The sequence below is a fragment of the Homo sapiens genome, chromosome 22 (assembly GCF_000001405.40).
Source record: "Homo sapiens chromosome 22, GRCh38.p14 Primary Assembly".
Lineage (NCBI taxonomy): Eukaryota > Metazoa > Chordata > Mammalia > Primates > Hominidae > Homo > Homo sapiens.
In genome coordinates, this window is record NC_000022.11 from 48,347,505 (window position 1) to 48,366,896 (window position 19,392).

Consider the following 19,392-nt stretch of genomic DNA (forward strand, 5'->3'; position numbering starts at 1 on the left):
TGCAGGCATGTGGTGTGCAAACACAGGCTCCTTCAGATCCATCTCGGCGAGATGCTCAGGACCACGCCTCCCTGCCCACAGCAGGTTTTCTGCACCCCCAGCTAGAGCTTGGCACTCCAGAAAGAACATGCACTCAGGCTGTTTCATGTATTAATTATGGGACCTTGGGCAAGATGCTTAACTCCTGAAGGCCAAACCCTTCGTCTTTCAGATGGGAAGAGCCCCACCAGCCTTCATGGGGGTTGTCAGGACTGAGTGACATGATATGTGTGAAGCTTGCCGGCCATGAAATAGTCACCATGAATAACACTTATTACCTTCCTCAATTCCTTCTGGTCCTGGTCTACAGGGAATGAAGTTTCCTCAAAGCAATTAATATAGCCCTGCATGAATGCAACATTCTCCGTTGCAAAGCTCCTACGTTATTTACTGTTAATAATTTCAGCTGACCCTTGAACAACACGGATTTGAACGGTGTGGGTCCACATATACGCGGACTTTTCTTCCATCTCTGCCACCCCTGAGTCAGCAAGACCACACCCTCCTCCTCCTCCTCCTCCTCTTCAGCCCACTCAACACGAAGACAATGAAGATGGAGACCTTTATGATGATCCACTTCCACTTAATGAAGAGTAAATACATTTTCTCTTTCTTAGGATTTTCTTAATAGCATTTTCTGTCCTCTAGCTTGTGTTGTAAGATTACAGCATATAACACACACCACATACTAAATATGTTTCATCAGCTATGTTATCAGTAAGACTTCCAGTCAGCAGTGGGTTATTAGTAGTTAGGTTTTTGAGGAGTCAAAAGTTATACACGGACTTTTGCTTGCACGGGGGTTGGCACCCGTAACCCTGTGTCGTTCTTGGCTCAGCTGTTTATGTGAACACTGCTGAAGCACCATCGCGCACAGACCGTTTTAGACACGGCACAAATCCAAGGCTTTGGAGCAGTCACTCAGTTATCCTCATATTATAAATGAATAGACCGAGGCTGGTGCAGCCATTATGGGGAGCACTATGACGCTTTCTCAGAAAATTAAACGTAGAAGTACCCAAGACCCAGGAATCCCTTTTCTGAGTATATATTCAAAGGAAAAGAAACCAGCACCTTACAGAAACACCTGAGCTCCCAGGTTCATTGCAGCACCAAGAGATGGAAACAATAGAAAAACATCCTCTGTGGATGGAAATGTGCCTAAAGAAAATGTGCGATAGACACGGAGGGAAAGGTTCTGGGCCTTTAAAAAGGAGACACCGACATTTGCAATAACATGGGTGAACCTGGAGCAGAATGTATTAAATGAAGCCACACACACACTCTCACACTCACATACACTCACACACTCTCACACACTCACCCTCACACACACTCTCTCACACACACTCATACTCACACACTTACACTCTCACAGACTCACACTCACACACTCACACTCCCATACACTCTCACACTCACACACACTCTCACACAGACTCACACTCACACACACTCTCACACAGACACGCTCACACACATTCACATACTTACACTCTCACACAGACTCACACTCACACATACACTGTCACACAGTCACATGCACTCATATACATACTTACACACACTCTCTCACACACACTCAGCCAGTCACACACACACCCACAGAGACTTTCACACACAGACTCACACACACACAGTCACACACTCACATTCCTATACACACACTCTCACACACTTTCACATACACTCACACATAGGCTTTCACATACACTCACACATAGGCTTTCACATACACTCATATTCACACACTCATACACATACACATAGTCACATACACAAACACACATACATGCTCACAAAAACATACACACTCCCACACATACCCTCACACACACACATAGTCACACTCACACACACACTCATACACACACATTCACACTCACACACTAATATGGTTTGGCTCTGTGTCCGCACCCAAATCTCATCTTGAATTGCAATCCCTACATGCCAAAAGGGGGTCCTGGTGGGAGGTGATTGGATCATGGAGGCAGACGTCCCCCTTGGCACCGTGTCATGATAGCGAGTGAGTTCTCGCAAGATCTGATGGTTTGGAAGTGTGGCATTTCCCCTGTGCTCTCTCTCTCTCTCTCCTGCTACCTTGTGAAGATGGTCCTTGCTTCCCCTTTGCCTTCTGCCATGATTGTAAGTTTCCTGAGACCTCCCAGGCCATGCAGAACTGTGAGCCAATTAAATCTCCTTTCTTTATAAGTTACCCAGTCTCAGGTAGTATGTTTACAGCAGTATAGTATATACAGTGTAGTGAGAACAAACTAATACAGACACACACACATGCGTGCACACTCAAACACTGCATGCCGTCTCTTACAGGAAGAATCTTTTTTAAAAGTTGAATCCCTAGAATCAGGGAAAGAACAGAATTCACCTGCAGGCAGGATGGGGGTATTGGGAAGCACGGGTCAAAGATGGCAAGGTTGCACTGATATGGGACAAGGAGATCTGGAGCCCTCATGTACAGCATGAAGACTGTGGCTAATAATCTTGCATTGCATACTGGACATTTTCTGAGAGAGAAGACATTAGGTGCTTTTACTACAAACAGCAGGAGCAGTGTACAATGACAGATATACGAAGCTGTTACCTATAATACTCCACTCTCTGCATATCATACCAGTATACTGTATACCTGAAATCTATGTAACAAGCGCATGAGGAGACTGAGGCACAGAGAGGCTGGATAACGTGCACAAGGTCCTACAGCTACATGGCAAGCCCAGGACTCGTGCCCAGACATTTTGCCTCTAGGGGACCAGCTTTCAGTCCCCCTCCTACACCCTCTCAGAGCCCCAGAGACCTGACCAACATGTTTAATAAAGACAAGAGAAACTAGTAACCGGGAGGAATAACTTAATCGCAGCCTGAGTTAATTCCTCTATTTGTTAAGAACGCGTCTCAAGCAGAATATTTTTAGGCAGTCTGGCATTACAATGTGCTAACACTGAGAATGTATTAAACTCAGCCCTACTTACCGAAAATATCCCCTGCGTCCATATTGCCTCTTTCACTTACGGGAGGGAGCTGTCAGGAACAACAGGACTCCGGTTCTTGTTAGCAGCGGGAGCTGAGCAGGGAGACACTCCTTGGTTGGGTCTCCGTGTAAGGGGTCAGGGGTCATCTTGGCCAGCTTGTGCCTGTCATAGGTTGATGCAATTTTCTGAGCTCTGGCTTTGAGACGTAATCCTAATCCTTTAGGTACCTAGGAGGGCACTCTGGTTAACAAAAAACAAAATAGGATCAACAGAGACAGAGAAGAAAGGATGAAAGAAAATAACAGATTCCCTAGTTTTTTTGAACAAAATGAGAAAGTGGCACATGGGAAAACTTGCAAATGAATCAAAACCAACTTTGCTTGGTCTATTCCATTTCTTTCTGTACCAAAAAAAAAAAAACCAAATATCAGTAATAATAATAATAAATAACAAACTTAGAGTTCAAGGTCCAGGAAGAGAGAAGAGTTCAAGGAAGGAAGGGGCTGAACACCTGTCCAACACCCACATCTGCCCTTGCTAAGCACCTGCTTTGTGCCCGACTGTGTCTGCTGTCACCCTGACCTTCCCCTTCATGGTGTCTCTAGGAGGTGAGAGAGAGCTGGTATTGCACTTTACAGGGAAGGAACATGCAAGTCAGGGAGACAGAATAACTCCCCGAGGTCACACCTCCTGGTCCACGCCATGCTGGAATCCAGCCACACGCAACTCTAAGTCGGGGTCTCTCCTACTCTAGGCCGCCTTCCAGGATACGTTCAGCAGGACTGAGGACAAGGGAGTCAATACCCAGGCTTCTGAGGGAGTCAGACTCAGCCAGGCAGAGGACACTGTGAGGCTAGCACTCTGTCAGCACAGGTCCGGGTCCTAGGTAGCTTCGAAGCATCTCCAGGGAACATGGAACTGTGAGAGGAGTGGGCAGAGGAGAGGCTGATCAGGTTTGTGCATGATGGTGACTCTGTCCACAGTGGGGGTGTGGGGGGATCAGCAAGTAACAGGGAGGAACTCCAGGCTACAGACCAAGTTAGAACACGGGAGTACCGTGTGCTGGAGAGAAGCTGGGGCAGGCCTCTCCTAGAGGTGGGGTCACAAAGGCCATGCCACCTCTGGGCTCCACCCGGGAAAGCCCCCGTGTCTGCCCTGAGGGAGGCAAGGCTCTTCCCCAGGGTGAGGGGTCTCTGGACCCTTTGACTTCCTCTCTTTTCAGGCACAGCACGGTCACGATTGAAGAGCTTTTCCTGATCTGCTGCCAACAGGGACGAAAGGCTCCTCCTTCATCATGGAGACGGGGCTCTGGGAGCAGGCCAGCCAGGGAACATCTCTGTAACTGGCTATGTCTGCCAGGGGCTCTGGGGAGCAGGCTGGCCAAGGAACATGGTTGTAAATGTGCGTGCCTACCTGTCAAGCTCAGATGACAACCTGCTAGGCCAGGGAGCCCTCGCCATGAGAGGGAGGCAGAGATGGTGTCTGGACCTTCGGGAACTCTGAGGTCACCCATGTACTCTTTGTTTGACACACAAAAGGAACCAAGGCATCAAACGCAGCTCTTGGTTCTCCTCGAAGCCCAACTCCTCCACAAGCACCAGTACAGGACTGCACAGAGGTGCAGGGTCACCCCTTCCCTGGCTGATGGCCAATGGGCCACCAAATGCAGGGGCGAGGCCACCCAGCCCCACCAGCCCACCTGCTGACCTCAGACAAAGAAGCAGTTCCAGCCAACTCCAGCCAAGCAGGGACCAGAGCAGCCCAACAGCCAGCCGACCCATGGTCTCGAAACAGCAGGAAACACCTGTGGGTTTAAGGCGCTGACACCAATAGCAGGTGCAGTCAATCAATCAACAGGCATTCATTTGACCAGTGATGCCCTGAGCGTGAGGCCAGACATGGGACTGCAGAGAATGCCAGGACACGGAACAGAAACCCCAGCCCACCTACCATGCATGGCCACCGGCATCTCCCTGTCACCAGGTAATCCACTCCACTTCCTTCCTCGGGACCTTGGTAGTGGCTGTGCCCGCTCCCTGGGATGCCCGGACCTGCATCCTCTGTCTGAATAACTCCTGTTTATCCTCTAGTCTCAGCCTAAATGTCGCCTCCTCCTCCCCAGTCACTGTGACTCCCAGCTGGCTCGAGGTTCTCACCCTGTGCCATGCTTCCTTGCATGGCGCCACCCATCTCCAGCTTTGGGCACCCAACCCAAGGCTCGGTGCTTGTGGTTTCTTGGGGCTGGGCAGCCCTGGCTGCCAGCTGGGGCACCTCGGTTCTCCATGTGCCTCCCATCCCCAGAGGCTGGAGGTATTTCCTGCCATGGTGTTCTGAGGGCAGAAGCCTCAGAGAGCCACAGCGAGGTGTCTCCAGGCCCAGCCTCGGGACTCACACCGTCACTTCTCCCACACTCTGTGGTCGGAGGAAGTCACAGGCAGCCCACAGTCGGGTGAGAAGTGGACCCCTTTTGATGAGGACAGTGACAAAGAAGCTGTGGCCGTGTTCATTGTTCCTAGCGTTGATCCTGGCTGTAAGGCATTCCATTTTGCAGCTTCTTTGCATGTTGTTGGTGTCCAACACTGACGTTCCAGCGCCAGAAAGGCAGGGCCCTGGTCCTGTTCACTCTGCTCCCCGGGCAGTGCCTGGCATAGAATGGGCTTTAGATGGGTGTTTGTCGAATGAATGAATGGCTAGAAGACAAGGTCCAGCCCTGCCCTTGAGGAGCTGCTGCCTCCCCAGCAGGGTTCCTGCTCCATACCACACCACCTGAGCCCTGCCTGGATGCATGCCTGTGCCCACAAACCCTGCAGCATTGCACTTGCTCCCAAGGGGCACCCCAGCCCCTTCTCAGGGAGCAGCTGTCAGCGCAGTCCCCTGGCAGATTTGGCTCCGAGGAAGATAGAAGGTGGCGAGCCCAGGTGGTGACTCACTGGACAGAGACAGAGAAATAAAAAGAACAAGAAGCAGGAAGAAGAAGAGGAGTAAAGACTGGGAGATGGAGGAAGAAAGGAAGGGAGGGAGGGGAGGAAGCCTGAGTGTGCGGGGTTTGGTGGGTGAGGCTCTGGGAGAAAGCCCAGCCCGAGAGAGCACGAGGATGGCCAGACCACCCTCCTCTTCCAATCGTGGGTGCAGGAAGGGCTCGGGGCCAGCCGGGCCAACTCTCTAAGTGACACATGCCACATGCTGGGGCTTCTCCATCCCCACTGCCTCCTGGAGCCACAGTATCCAGACACCAGGGGCCTCCAGACAGAAATGTGTCGCTGGGATGCTTCTGTGCTGTGACTCAACAATCCCTGTCCTGGAATCTCAATTCAAGTCACTCCAACAAGTGGGCAAACAGAACTCTGTGCCCTGCAGGGTTAATCACATTATTCATTATTCACAGTCACAGAATTCAGGAATCCACTTCACTGCCTGGCAAGAAGGAGATGGTTATGCCAACATTCCATATTCCATAAACCCTGGGGCCATGAACCACTGATGTTTCAGGGCATGTGGAAAATCCTGTGAGATAATGCAGGCTGACTGCATTTCTGTTTTTTTAATTTGTATGGGCTTACATTGGAATATTTTGCAAAGCAATACACAGCAGTACATATACAAGTCTGTGTATGTAGCTTTATACGTACAGCTATTTTGGGGTCAATGCTACTTTGAGAAGACCAACCTACCTGTGGGTCTAATGAGCCTGTGAAGTCCACACAGGGCCTGGCTACAGGACCTGAGGGTTCACTTCCCCCAGGGCAGCCCCCGTCGGAGCTCTGGCCCCTGTCCCATCATATGTGTCAGCTCTTCCACACTTATTGCTGTTCTCCTTTCTGCATTTTTTGGATATTAGTCAATGTTTATTCAATTTATGCTACATTTTTCATTCCCGAGGGCTCTATCGACAATGGGAAGAAGGTTTAAATGAAAAATACTCCTTCACTATCTCATGAGCTTGATGCTCATCAATGAGCTGCTCAGGACTAGGTTAGGCTGAGGGAGGCAGGAGAGCAGGTGGGGAGTGTGCTGTGCATACAGGGGCTTGTCACTCTTGCATATGAGGAAGAGTGTAGGGAAGGTCCACAGAGTGAGGGACCTAGGTTCACATCTCACCATTGCACCATGAATGACCTCCATTCCCGAGAGTGTGTCAGGGTCCCAAATGGTTGCATGGTGCTCCAGCCATCACATCTGTGCTCCCACCGGCCAGGAGACAAAGGGGAGATCAGGTACACTTCCCTGTGAGAAGTTGCATGCACAACCTCATGCATTTTATTAGCCAAAACTTTGCCAGGCAGACCATATCTAGCTGTAAAATTGGTTGAGAAAATATTTATTTAATTTGGGCAGCTTTGTGCCCAGCTAAAACTTGGGGATACAGGTGTTGGGAGCAATCAGCCATCTCTTTCACAACTATAATGTGTAACAAGGCCATAAATCCGTCAACTTTGAAGGCTCTAAGTATATGGTTCTTTTGTGAATATATTGTTTGAGATAGATTTTATTTCTTAGAGCAGTTGTAGGTTTACAGAAAAATTGAGCAGAAGGTTAAACAGTTCCCTTACCCTCCTCTAGCCCTCTCCCTCACAAACCCACCTTCCCTATTATTGCCACCTTACATTGTATGGTGCATTTGTTATTATTGATGAACCACGATTGATCCATTATTATTAACCAAAGTCCATAGTTCACCTTAGGGTTCATTCTTTCTGCTATGTGTTCTATGGGTTTTGCCAAATGCATAATGATGTGGATCTGCCATTACAATACTGTACAGAATAGTTCCACTGCCCTAAAACCCCCTGTGCAGCCATATTCATCCCTCCCTCCCTCCTGCCAAACACCTGGCAACCACTGGTCCTTTACCGTCTCCATCATTTTGCCTTTTCCAGAAAGTCCTTTGAATGGAATAATACGGTCTGTAACCTTTTCCGACTGGCTTCTTTCACTTAGTGATATGCATTTAAGGTTCCTCCTGGCCCTTTCACGGCCTGACAGCTCATTTCTTTTTAGTGCTGGGTAATATTCCATCGTCTGGAGGTGTCGCAGTTTACTCATCCATTCACCTGCTGAGGGGCATCCTGGTTGCTTCCACGGTTGTGGATAAAGCTGCGATCGACATGCACGTGCAGGTTTTTGTGTGGACAGAAGTTTTCAGCTCATTTGGGTAAACACCAAGGAGTATAATTGCTGAACCATATGGTAAGTGTATGTTTAGTTTTATAGGAAATCACCAAACTGTCTTCCAAAGCAGCTCTACCATTTTGGGTTCCCTCCAGCAATGCATGGGAGTTTCTGGTGTCCTGAACCCTCGCCAGCATTTCGTGGAGTCAGTGTTCTGGGTCTTGGTCATTCTGATAGGTGTGCAGGGGTGTCTCATGGTTTTAGTTTACAACTCCCTGGAGCCATATGCTTACCTGTGTCTATCTGTCTTCTTTTGTGAAGTGTACATTCGAGTCTTTTGCCTGCTTTTTTTCATTTTTTTTTTATTTTACATTAAGTTCAGGCATACATGCTCAGAACGTGCAGGTTTGTTACATGGGTACACACGTGCCATGGTGGTTTGCTGCATCTATCAACCTGTCACCTAGGTTTTAAGCCCCGCACGCATTAGGAGTTTGTCCTAATGCTCTCCCTCCCCTTTCTCCCCACCCCCCGACAGGCCCCGGTATTCCCCTCCTTGTGTCCATGTGTTCTCATTGTTCAACTCCCACTTATGAATGAGAACATGCGGTGTTTGGTTTTCTGTCCCTGTGGTGATTTGCTGAGAATGATAGCTTCCAGCTTCATCCACTTTTTAACTGGGTTGCTTTCCTGTAGTTGAGTTGTAAGGGTTCTTTGTATATTTGGGATACAAGTCCTTTATCAGACATGTGTTTTGCAAACCTTTCTCCCAGTCAGTGGCCTGTCTTTTTGTTCTCTTAACAGTGTCTTCCACAGAGCAGCAGTTTTTAATTTTAATGAAGCCCAACTTACCTTTTTTTTTTTTCTTTCATGAACTGTGCTTTCAGCATTGTGTCTAAAACCTCCTTGCTGAATCCAAGGTCACCTACGTTTTCTCCCATGTTATCTTCTAAAAGTTTTACCATTTTGCATGTTACATTTAGGTCTATGATCCATTTGGTGTTAATTTTTGTGAAAGGTGTAAGGTCAGTGTCTACATTTATATATTTTTTTGCATGTGGATGCCCTTGTGAATATCTTTGCAATCATTAAATGTTAATTACAAGGACGACAGAGGCTGGAAAATATCAGGATGTAATGTTAAGTGGAAGGCAGTAGGCAGAGCACCATCTCTGCCACAGTTTCAGGTGAAGGGGTTTCATCTCGGTCGGTAAAAGGAGCAATGGAGTGGAAGGAGAGAAGGGAGGCAGCTCCATGGGGGGGCAGTTGCCTGCAGAGCCCGGGACCCACACTTGCATCATGGGAGGGGCTGAGGGAGCCACACCCAGGCAGGAGGTGGACTGAGGAGATGCCGGCTAAGTCACTGATGCATGGAGAGGCCCAAACAAAGAGATGGGTGAGGAAGGCCTGGGAAGCCCACAGATGCCCCTGCTCAGGGGAGGGTATTAGGCCATTCTTATGTTGGTATAAAGAAATACCTGAGGCTGGGTCATTTATGTAGAAAAGAGCTTTGATTTGGCTCACAGTTCCGCAAGCTGTGGCATGGCACCGACGTCTGCTCAGTTCCTGGTGAGGCCTCCGGGAGCCTCCAGTCATGACAGAAGGTGACGAGGGAGCAGGCATCTTCTGCCGCCAGAGTGGAAGCAAGAGAGAGCGGGAGGAGGCGCCATGCTCTTCAACCACCAGATCTCTTGTGAACTCAGAGTGACGGCTCAATCATCACCAAGGGGATGGCCAAGCCATGCAGCAGGGTTCCAGCCCCGTGATCCAGTCACCTCCCACCAGGCCCCGCCTCCAACACAGGAGTCACATTTCAACCTGAGACTTAGAGGGGACGAACATCCGACCCACGTCAGGGTAAGCACTCCTCATGTGGGCAGAGCCAGCAGAACCAAAGAAACAGCTAAAAACGGAGGTGCTTGCAGGAGGCCGGGCCAGGGAACACAGACTCTCTCCCTAACAGCTCTAGCCAGGCTGCACTGAGCCTGCTATTTACCTAGGCTCACCCTGGGCTCCTGCCTTTATGCTGGCAGAGTTCAAAGTTAGCAAGAACCCTAAGTTAGTTTAGCCAGAAGCCCCAGTTTCGATGTCTGAGCACCCTCAATGCCTGACCGGATTCCTCATCCCCTACCTTCCTCTGGGTGATGTCGGTCACCCTGGCCTGCCTCTAGCCAGAATCCAGCCTGGTCAGCTTAGACAGAGTGACCCACCCTCTTAGCCATCTTCCATCCACCAATTCCACCTGGAGCCTTGCTTCTGAATCCCCACATTTCCTTGTGTTTGAAATGGAGCACAATCTTTCTCCCCTGTTGCAAAACCTCATTGCAGGGGCCCCTGTGAGTAGAGACTGCTTTACCGTCTGGAATAAGCCTCAGAAGAATTTTATTCTTAACATGGGAAGTGGACCAGAGGGCAGAGCCCCCAGGGCTCTTCTCCTCAGCTGGCAGCCCATAGTCCCACTCTCAGCTCCAGAGGCACAGGCTCCCCACTGCCGGGCCAGGAATGGGAACAGCAGGGGCTCCGGAGTGGGCAGGGGGCCCTCGGGCAGGAGGTGCACAGAGGGCATGGGTTGGCCACCCCGGGCCTGGCAATGGCCACCTGCTCCCTGCACATGATGGCCTCACAGGGCATCCTCATGTTCATCATGCTATAAACGATGCCCTAAGGATCTGAACCGGGGGTGGAACTGACATCTCTGGACCTCCAAGCTCAGGTGTATCTCAAAACTGTCGAGACAGGATGGCTGAGGCCCTAGAACCCTAAGGCGCAACACTATCTATCCAGCCCAAGCTGTGGCCCCAAACTCCTACTTGAAAACCCTGGCCCTGTTCATGTGGGTCAGACCATGTTGGGCAGGAGGACTTGGTTTCTGAGGACCCAGCTGTCCAGAGTGGCCCAGACCCAAAGCCAAAAGGATGCCTCTCCCACCTCTCCCTTGGGCCCTGCCTCCTCCCCAACTCTGGAGTGTGTGGCCAGATGCCAGCCAGATGAGGTCCCGCATTTCTGGACAGTCCTTTGATCCCCTTTTCCTTCCACCACGAGGCGGCCTTTGTCACTGGGTCCCAGGACAAAGCCTCGGGGCAGCCTGGATGGTGTTCTGACCCCAATCCCCCCAGGGGGCTCCTAGTCAAGGGTCTTCCCTGCATGGAACCCCCAAAGCCAGTAAGAAATAGAAGCTTCCTGAACATTGCTAACGTCCTGAATATCCAGCATCCACGAAACCCAAGCGAACTAGTTAAAAATAAAAACGTGGTGATGATCATTTGCTGTGGGTTTAATCCAATTTGAGGATTTACTTAAAATAAAACCTTGGGGAATGAAAACAGAAGTCAGTAGCACACCTCCAGGGCTAGTAGGGAGCACATTTGCCCAGCACCTGAGTCCTTGCCAGGTGCCAGACCCTGTTCCTGACAGCTGTGCTGGGCGTGCGCACACAAGCCCCGGGCGGAGGCCAGGGCTGCACTTAGCGCATATGAGATGCTACGTGGGACTGGAAATGCCTCCTGCGCTCCCTTGAGTTACATGAAACTACTGAGAAGTTCTTGATCTGGGGGCCATTAGAGGAACCTGGCCCACCTTGTCTGGAACACAGAGGGAAGGCTGGTTACGGGGAAAATCCAGAGGCGGCAACTTCGTGCTCTCAACAGACAGCATGAGTCACCATGAGAAGGGGAAAGGGGACTTGGCTTCCAGACACACACCAAGGACTTCAATGTGGACAGTGGCAAGGTGCTGTCCCTGACCCTCCACCCGTCGCCCACTCAACCTGGCACCCCAGGGCTGTACCGGCCGAGTCATCACCAAGGCCCACCTCTCGCCTGGTCCAGGACTCCCTTGGAGATGAGGGCAGACAAGTGGATGGCACCCTCTGCTCCAAGGCTCCGGGGCCTCATGAAGCAGCCGTTCCTATTGAACAGCTCCAGCAGCTGCAGTGTTCCTTCCTGTATTCCTCAGAACCTGTTGTCCTGAAGCTCCGTCTGTCACCACTGTGTCTATTCCCTTCAGTCAGTCACACAGAACAAATCTATTCCCTTGTCCTCGGAAAAGGGGTCAGGTCCTTGGATGTTTGAAAATAGCTGCCCTGTCCTCTCTGACCCCTCCCCCGCCACCGCCGCAACCTAAGGCGAGGAGCTGCCACTTACAAGGCACCTACTGTTTGTCGAGGGTTTTATTTAGGTCAGGACGCGGTTATTCCCATTTAGAGATGAAGAAACTGGGGTTCGGCGAGGTTAACTGCTTGCCCAGGGTCACACAGGGAACAGGAGACGCTGGATGTAAACTCAGCCCCGTCTGGTTCTGAAGGCTGCCTTCTCCCCGGCCCTGCAGAGCGCCAGCCTCTCTTCTATAAGCTGGATGCCCCCGGCCCAACACCCCACAGAGAAAAGGCCTCCAATGCCTCCCCTGCCATCAGCGCTTCTCTGCAAAAGAGCATCCTGAATGCCCACGCCAGCCACAGAGGCGCCCCTCCCACCCTCTGGCAGGTGGGCTCCTCTCACCTTCCTTTTCTGTATCGATTGGTATGTATTCAGGTCAGGTAGCAGAATGCCTGGCCAGCAGTGTCCTGAAGAGACAAAGCTATCTGGGACCTCAGGGTAGGTGGTCGGGGCTGGGCAGTGACTCACGACGGCCATTAAGAAACCAAGCTCTTTTTGTCTCTGTCCTACCGTCTACAGCAAGTGTGCCTGTTGCCTTGAGTTTGCAAGATAGCTGATCCTCTTCCAGTCATGACATCCTTCAGGAAGAAGGGGAATGACACAGGCTTCCTCTGAAGGCTGCTCTGTCTTCTGACTCCACAAAGGAAGCACTGCCCAGCACATCTCCTCCTGCATCTCAGCCAAAACTAGGCCATGCGCCCTCCAAAGACCAATCTCTCTCCAGGAGCAATGAAACGCATGTAGCTGTCTTTGATCCGCACGCCTCCTCCCCTGGTGGGGGTGGGCCATGTCCCACCTGGATCTCACATCCCTAACTGCAACCTAAAGACAAGAACTCCATCAGCTGGGGGCGAGGGTAGGGTGCTGTGTGCAATGGGCTGACTACTAAGGAGGCCATGGAGGGCGGCAGCTTCACCCTCCAAAGTTTAATCACCCTGAAGTGCCAATACCTGAAAATATTTTTGGAAGCATTTTATTCTAAGAGGGATCAGAAATTTTAGCAAGAAAGAGTAACGATATAATATTGGAATTCCAGGCACTATCTGCCAGTAGGTCATAGTGATAGATAACAAGGTAGGTGGTGAGAGGTTACCAAAAGGGAGTCCAACAAATACGGATGAATGAAGGGAAGGGAGGAGGCATGGTGATAGGTGGGTGAGTGTGTAGAAGGGAGGATGGTGGATGGATGCATGGATGGATGGAAGCTGGATGGATAGATAGCTGGATGGATGAATGGAGGAATGGATGGATGAATGGAAGGATGGATGGATGATGAATGAATGGATAGATGGATAATGAATGATGGATGGATAGATGATGGATGGTTGGATGGATGGATGGATGATGAATGAATGGATAGATAGATGATGGATGGATGAATGGTTGAATGGATGATAGATTGATGAATGATAATGGATGGAGGAATGATGGATATATGATGATGGATGGATGGATGATGAATGAATGGATAGATGCATAATGAATGATGGATGAGTAGATGATGGATGGATGGATGGATGGATAGATGATGAATGAATGGATAGATAGATGATGGATAGATGATGGATGGATGAATGGTTGAATGGATGACAGATTGATGAATGATAATGGATGGAGTAATGACAGATGTATGATGATGGATGGATGATGAATGAATGGATAGATGGATAATGAATGACGGGTGGATAGATGATAGATGGATGGATGAATGGATGGATGACAAATGAATGGATAGATGGATGATAGATGGATGAAAGAGTGAATGGATGATAGATGGACAAATGATAATGGATGGAGGAGTGACAGATGTATCATGATGGATGGATGGATGGATGATGAATAACTGGATAGATGGATAATGAATGATGGATGGATAGATGATGGATGGATGGATGGATGGATGGATGATGAACGAATGGATAGATGGATGATGGATGGATGAATGGGTGAATGGATGATTGATGGATGAATGATAATGGATGGAGGAATGACGGATGTATGATGATGGAGGTATGTATGAACAGGAATGGATGAATGCATGCAGGAAGGCAAACTGTTTCAGCGGACACCTTTGGAAGATGCTTTCTGGTTTTTGAATTCCTACAAAATTTGCTTTGATAACCACCCAAGCAGAGTGCTTGCTGTCTTTTAAACTCTCCTCGGCTTATCTGAGCTGTAAGCGAGGCACAGCTCCAAGAGCAGAACAAAAGCTGGCAAGCACTGGTCCCCATTGTCATGCGGAACCAGTTGGGTGGACAGCAGTACTCTCTGGAGTGGCCTTTTCTTCCCGCTGCACTTGCCTTTGACTGGACGGATGAGGTGTTTTCACTTATAACAGAGTTTAGTCAACCCTCTCATACCATCCTCCTTGGCAAGCACCTGACAACATGGCTCAGAGAGAACCCCTGGAGAAGCAGGTCACGTCTGAAGGATGGTACTCTGTGTGTTCTAGGAAAAAGCCACACCTGCCTGGGGGTGGGGGTCCCCAGCCTGAAGAGAACCTCCTTGGGCACCCTGTGCTCCCCAGGGCAGGGGTGTCTCCACCCTGGCTTAGCATTCTTTGCTTGCATCAAAGAATCTGGCATGGATGTGGGGGGGAATCTCTGCTCACCACAGCTGCAGGCATTTGGAAAAGTCAAGGAACAGAATGATGAGGAACGGTGAGCACAGGTGGGCTTCAAGGCCAGCACAAAGAGGTTCCAAGTTTCTTGCAGCTCTCATGCAGAGGGAACAGGCCCCTTTCCTTAAAAAAGGGCCAATGTGTCCATTGGCCCACAAAGCCAGGAGCTGTGTGAGGAGGGTGGCAGCTGGGCTGAACTGGGCCCACCTGCCCCAGGTCGGGGGATCCAATGGGGTCAGCACAGGGGGCTCCTAGCCCTCTGTGTGCTCACAGGGAAACAAGAACCCAGAACTCTGCCATTTAGGAGCAGGTCTATTTATGGGCCATTTGTGCTGCTGTGGTTTTCCTTTCTAATTTTCCCTCAGATCTGAGCAACGTTCCTTTGGAAAATTCCAGTGCAGCTCAGCTGTACTGAGAACACGGGAAGGATCAGAGGCAAACGTTGAAACAGTACCTGGTACTCAGAGCGCTGTGTTCTGGGGAGAGGCGGTGGGAAAGGGGGCTTCCCTTGAACGAAGTGAAACCTGATCACCCCAGGGAAGGCAGGAGTAGGCTCTTCATTAGCCCCTTTTCCTGGGGTTCTTTGAGCTTAAACTTCATAGAGCTCGGTGGACAGTTTGCGAATGTGGCTTTGTGTTTAGCAAGGGAGGCTGCATCCTAGAGGCTGATAGGAGCCACCCTAGGCCACCGCTGGTCAGAGTGCAGCCAGGTCCCCTCCTTATGTCACCTGAACAGGCTCCCTAGCCTCTGTGAGCCGCTGTCCCTATCTGTGAAATGAACACGCAGAGGCCAACTCTGCAGAGAGCAGGAGGGGACCAGATACCACATGGAAGGCCAGCGCCATGTGGGCGTCCACTGATGGGTGGCCAGGATATCGTCCTAATGCAAAGTAAGGAACCAGAGGCTTTGAGAGATGACACACTTTGCCCTGGCTCATGTATGCACACTCACATTCACACACACCACACACACGCATGTGTAATTGCTCACACACAGGGCAGGTTAGTGACAGAGCTGGAACTCACAGTCTTCTCCACCCTACCCCCCCATCACAGACTGAAGTTGTCATGAACACTCAGGGTGGAAAATCCCAGAATATCAACAAAATAAGAAGAGTATAGCCTCCAACTCCAGTTCCAAGGGCAGGGCAGAAGAGAAGGCTCTGGAATCACTGTAGGTCCGAGAAGGGGATTTGCCTCCCCAGTGCAGGGTCAGTGAGATGAGCAGGGCCACACATGTCCCAGCTGAGGGAAGTACGAGAGAGTGCTGAGTGAAAACGGACCATTCCCTCACAGCACTGGATATGAGAAAATTCAACATTTCTAATAAAAGACAGACCAAAACATCTCGGCTCAGGATAAAGTGAAAGAAGCTACTTGTTGATGCATTGTGTAATAATGAATCTGGCCAGTCTCTGTCCACCACACCTCTCACCCATTCCTGCGAGGTAACCTCTACATTCTTAATATTTCTTAATTGATAGAAGTGTCTTTGTTACTCATAGTGTGTCCTTGGACAACAGCTGAGTCCATGCCAAGAAAGTGACTAAGGGAGACCCCCTAGAAAACCTGTGCTCAGGAGATGGCACCTGATGGGGCTGGTCCTACCAGAAAGAGCACCCATGCAATAGGACAGGTGTGGAGGGGGGAACTGCTTTGAGCCATGGCATATCAGCTGGTCTTTCACCTCCAGGAAGGGGATGGGGCTGGAGGTTGAGTTCCACTTCCGGGCTGTTGATTCAGTCAGTCATGCCCGTGGAATGGAACCCCAATGAAAACTCTAGACACGGAAGCTCTGGTGAACATCCTGATGGGCAGTTCCCTGTGAATGGTCACACACCTATGTGCCGGGAGGGCAACCGGTCCCTGGGGCTGACGGAAGCTCCCAGGCCTTGTTGTAGGTAGCTCTCTCTGTAGCTGGCTATTATTTGTCTCTTTATGCTATAATAAAACAGTCATTATAACTATAGCACTTTCCTGAGTTTTGTGAATTGTTTTAGTGATTTATTGAAACTGAAGAAGTTCCTGGGGACCCCCGACTTTGTAGCCAGCTGGTCAGAAGTGACAGTGACCTGGGGACCCTGAATTTGCAGCTGGGGTCTGAGGCGATGTCTCCTTGAGGAGGACAGTCCCCTTACCCAATGGAGTGTGGCTGACTCCAGGTAGTGTGTGTTCAAAGTCATTGCACAAACAAACAACACTAAACAATGTTGGAATGTTAAAATTAAAGTATCACCCAAGAGCTATTGGACAAAAGCAAACTAAAAACAGACTTGACAATGTTAATTTCTAACATTGTGTATTTCAATATAAATGGAATTAAATGGAATAAAATGCCAATGTATGTTGTTAATATCTTAATTCTACAATGAAGATAAAGTAGAATCCCACGTGCGCTGACCAAGGTAACATGAAAATACAAGTCCAAAACGCCTGGAAATATATGAAGAAAACGAAAGAAACACATTGGATGCTTAATAAACGATTTTTGGATACCTCACAATCTTATGGGTATAGAAATAAGAACAGTGACAAAGCTTAAAACAATTGAAATAATTCAATTACTAAATAAAATAATACCAGAAAGAGAGAAAGTCTTTATCATTTTCAGTAATTCATAAACATTACACTCTATCTGCATCTATGCTACACAAATCTCCACAAATTTTCAAAAGCAAAATTGCGCAGAACACATTCTCTCACTGAAACCTGGATTTATAATAGGAGCAAACGGATATACACACAGATATACACACAGCCTGTGGATCAAGAGATGGGGTATAGGGGCTGCACTGTACCTAGAGGGACCAATTCTTTGTCTTTTCATGAGGAAAAAAAAAGAAGAAAAGAAAGAAAGAGAAGGAGGGAGGAAAGGGAGGAAAAGAGGGAGGAAGGAAAGAAGGAAGGAAGGAAGGAAGAAAGGAAGGGAAGGAGGGAGGGAGGGAGGGAGGGAGGGAGGGAGGGAAGGAAGGAGGGAAGGAAGGAAGGAGGGAGGGAGGGAGGGAGGGAAGGAAGGAGGGAAGGAAGGAAAGGAAGGAGGGAAGGAAGGAAGGGTAGAGGTAATGAAGGAGAGGACCACATCAGAGTTGTGTGGGAGGGTTGGGCGTTGTCCGCAGAGGAGGGGACATTGTGAGTGGTGAAGTCCCAGCCTCCAGCCCTGGGCAAGGCCAGTCCCCGTGGGCATGGGTCTGCTGGACAGTGTCCAGGAGGCAGCAGGGCAGGCACGGTGTTAGTGGGGATTGAAAACCTGGCCAGAGTGCCTGGGAGTGAGACTGCAGCCCCTTTGCTCCCCAGCTGGGACCTTGGGTGCATTGCTTGGCCTCTCTTGGCCTGTTTTTTCATCTGTGAAATGGAAGTAGAGATACTCTCTACCCCTGAGCATTACTGTGAGGATTAGCTGAGTTATGACATGTGAAAGGTTTAGAACAGGCTCAGCGCACTGGAAGTGCTGTGGTGCGTCGGCCATTATTATTTGGGGGACGGGCAAGACATATGCCCCTCCCAAGATCATCATTGCATCTGTCAAGCCCACAGGTATGATCCCCAGACTCCTAAGCAACCTTCCAATGATGATCAACTCCCACGTAGGTTGGGAATGAGAGAAGGTTCATGCAGACTCAGTCTCCAAGGCCTGGAACCTTCCAATGATGATCAACTCCCGCGTAGGTTGGGAATGAGAGAAGGTTCATGCAGACTCAGTCTCCAAGGCCTGGGAAGCTCTCTGCCCAGATCTTCTCCTGCCTGGATCTGTTGCTCACTGTGGGTGCGGTTCGGCAGCGCCCCGGAGCATGGCCTTGGGGGTCCCTCAGTCTGGCAGAAGCCACACCCATGCTCTTCCCCTGGTTCCTCACACGCAGGACCTAGGCAGCTCTTTATCTTGTTGGGGATGTAGCCTTTCTACCCCGTGGCACAGAGCCCCAGCATGGGCCTTCTCTCTCTGAAACACTGTGTTGGCCATCACAGAGGAAGGCCTCTGTGCATTTTTGTTGGATTAATTGAATACATGAACAAAACCCAGCTTCCTTGCCATTGCAATGCAATTCCTACAGCTTGTATGGAAAGCTGGGCACCCATCCTGGGCCATCCTGGTTCCCAGGAAAATGATGACCTTTATTTTGAATGCAGGGGTTGCGGTTTTGATTTATGCCTCATTCCCCGGGTCTGTCTATGACCTTGCGGGCAGTACAGGGCACAGTTGGCTTTGGAGCCTAAGCCTCTGAGGACTGGAGCCAGTGCCACGGTTTTCAGGGCATCTTCTGGGCTCCAGGAGCTCCCTGGCCTCGAGTTAGCAGCAGCCAGGCTCTGACAGTCCCTGTAAAGCCTTGGCCAGCCCTGCAGACTCACTGCAGGGGCCGGCGGCAGCTGCTCCTTCTCAGCCTGCAGCGGCTCCCCCTGTGCAGCTCCATGGCCAAGGTGGCCACTGCACCGTCCAGGTTGAGGCCGGGGGAGGGAGACTCAGGTCCCATCAGGTCTGCTCTTGC

At 50.1% G+C, this 19,392-nt stretch overlaps 1 long non-coding RNA gene across 1 annotated transcript; it reads left to right on the plus strand.

Annotated features, from left to right (window-relative positions):
• The first annotated feature begins 3,783 nt into the window (after nt 1-3,783).
• On the plus strand, nt 3,784-13,251 carry LOC105373081 (uncharacterized). The gene is made up of 4 exons (XR_938325.2): nt 3,784-3,982; nt 4,252-5,012; nt 8,028-8,216; nt 12,812-13,251. It is a non-coding gene; the product is annotated as an uncharacterized LOC105373081 (long non-coding RNA).
• Nucleotides 13,252-19,392: the final 6,141 nt, after the last annotated feature.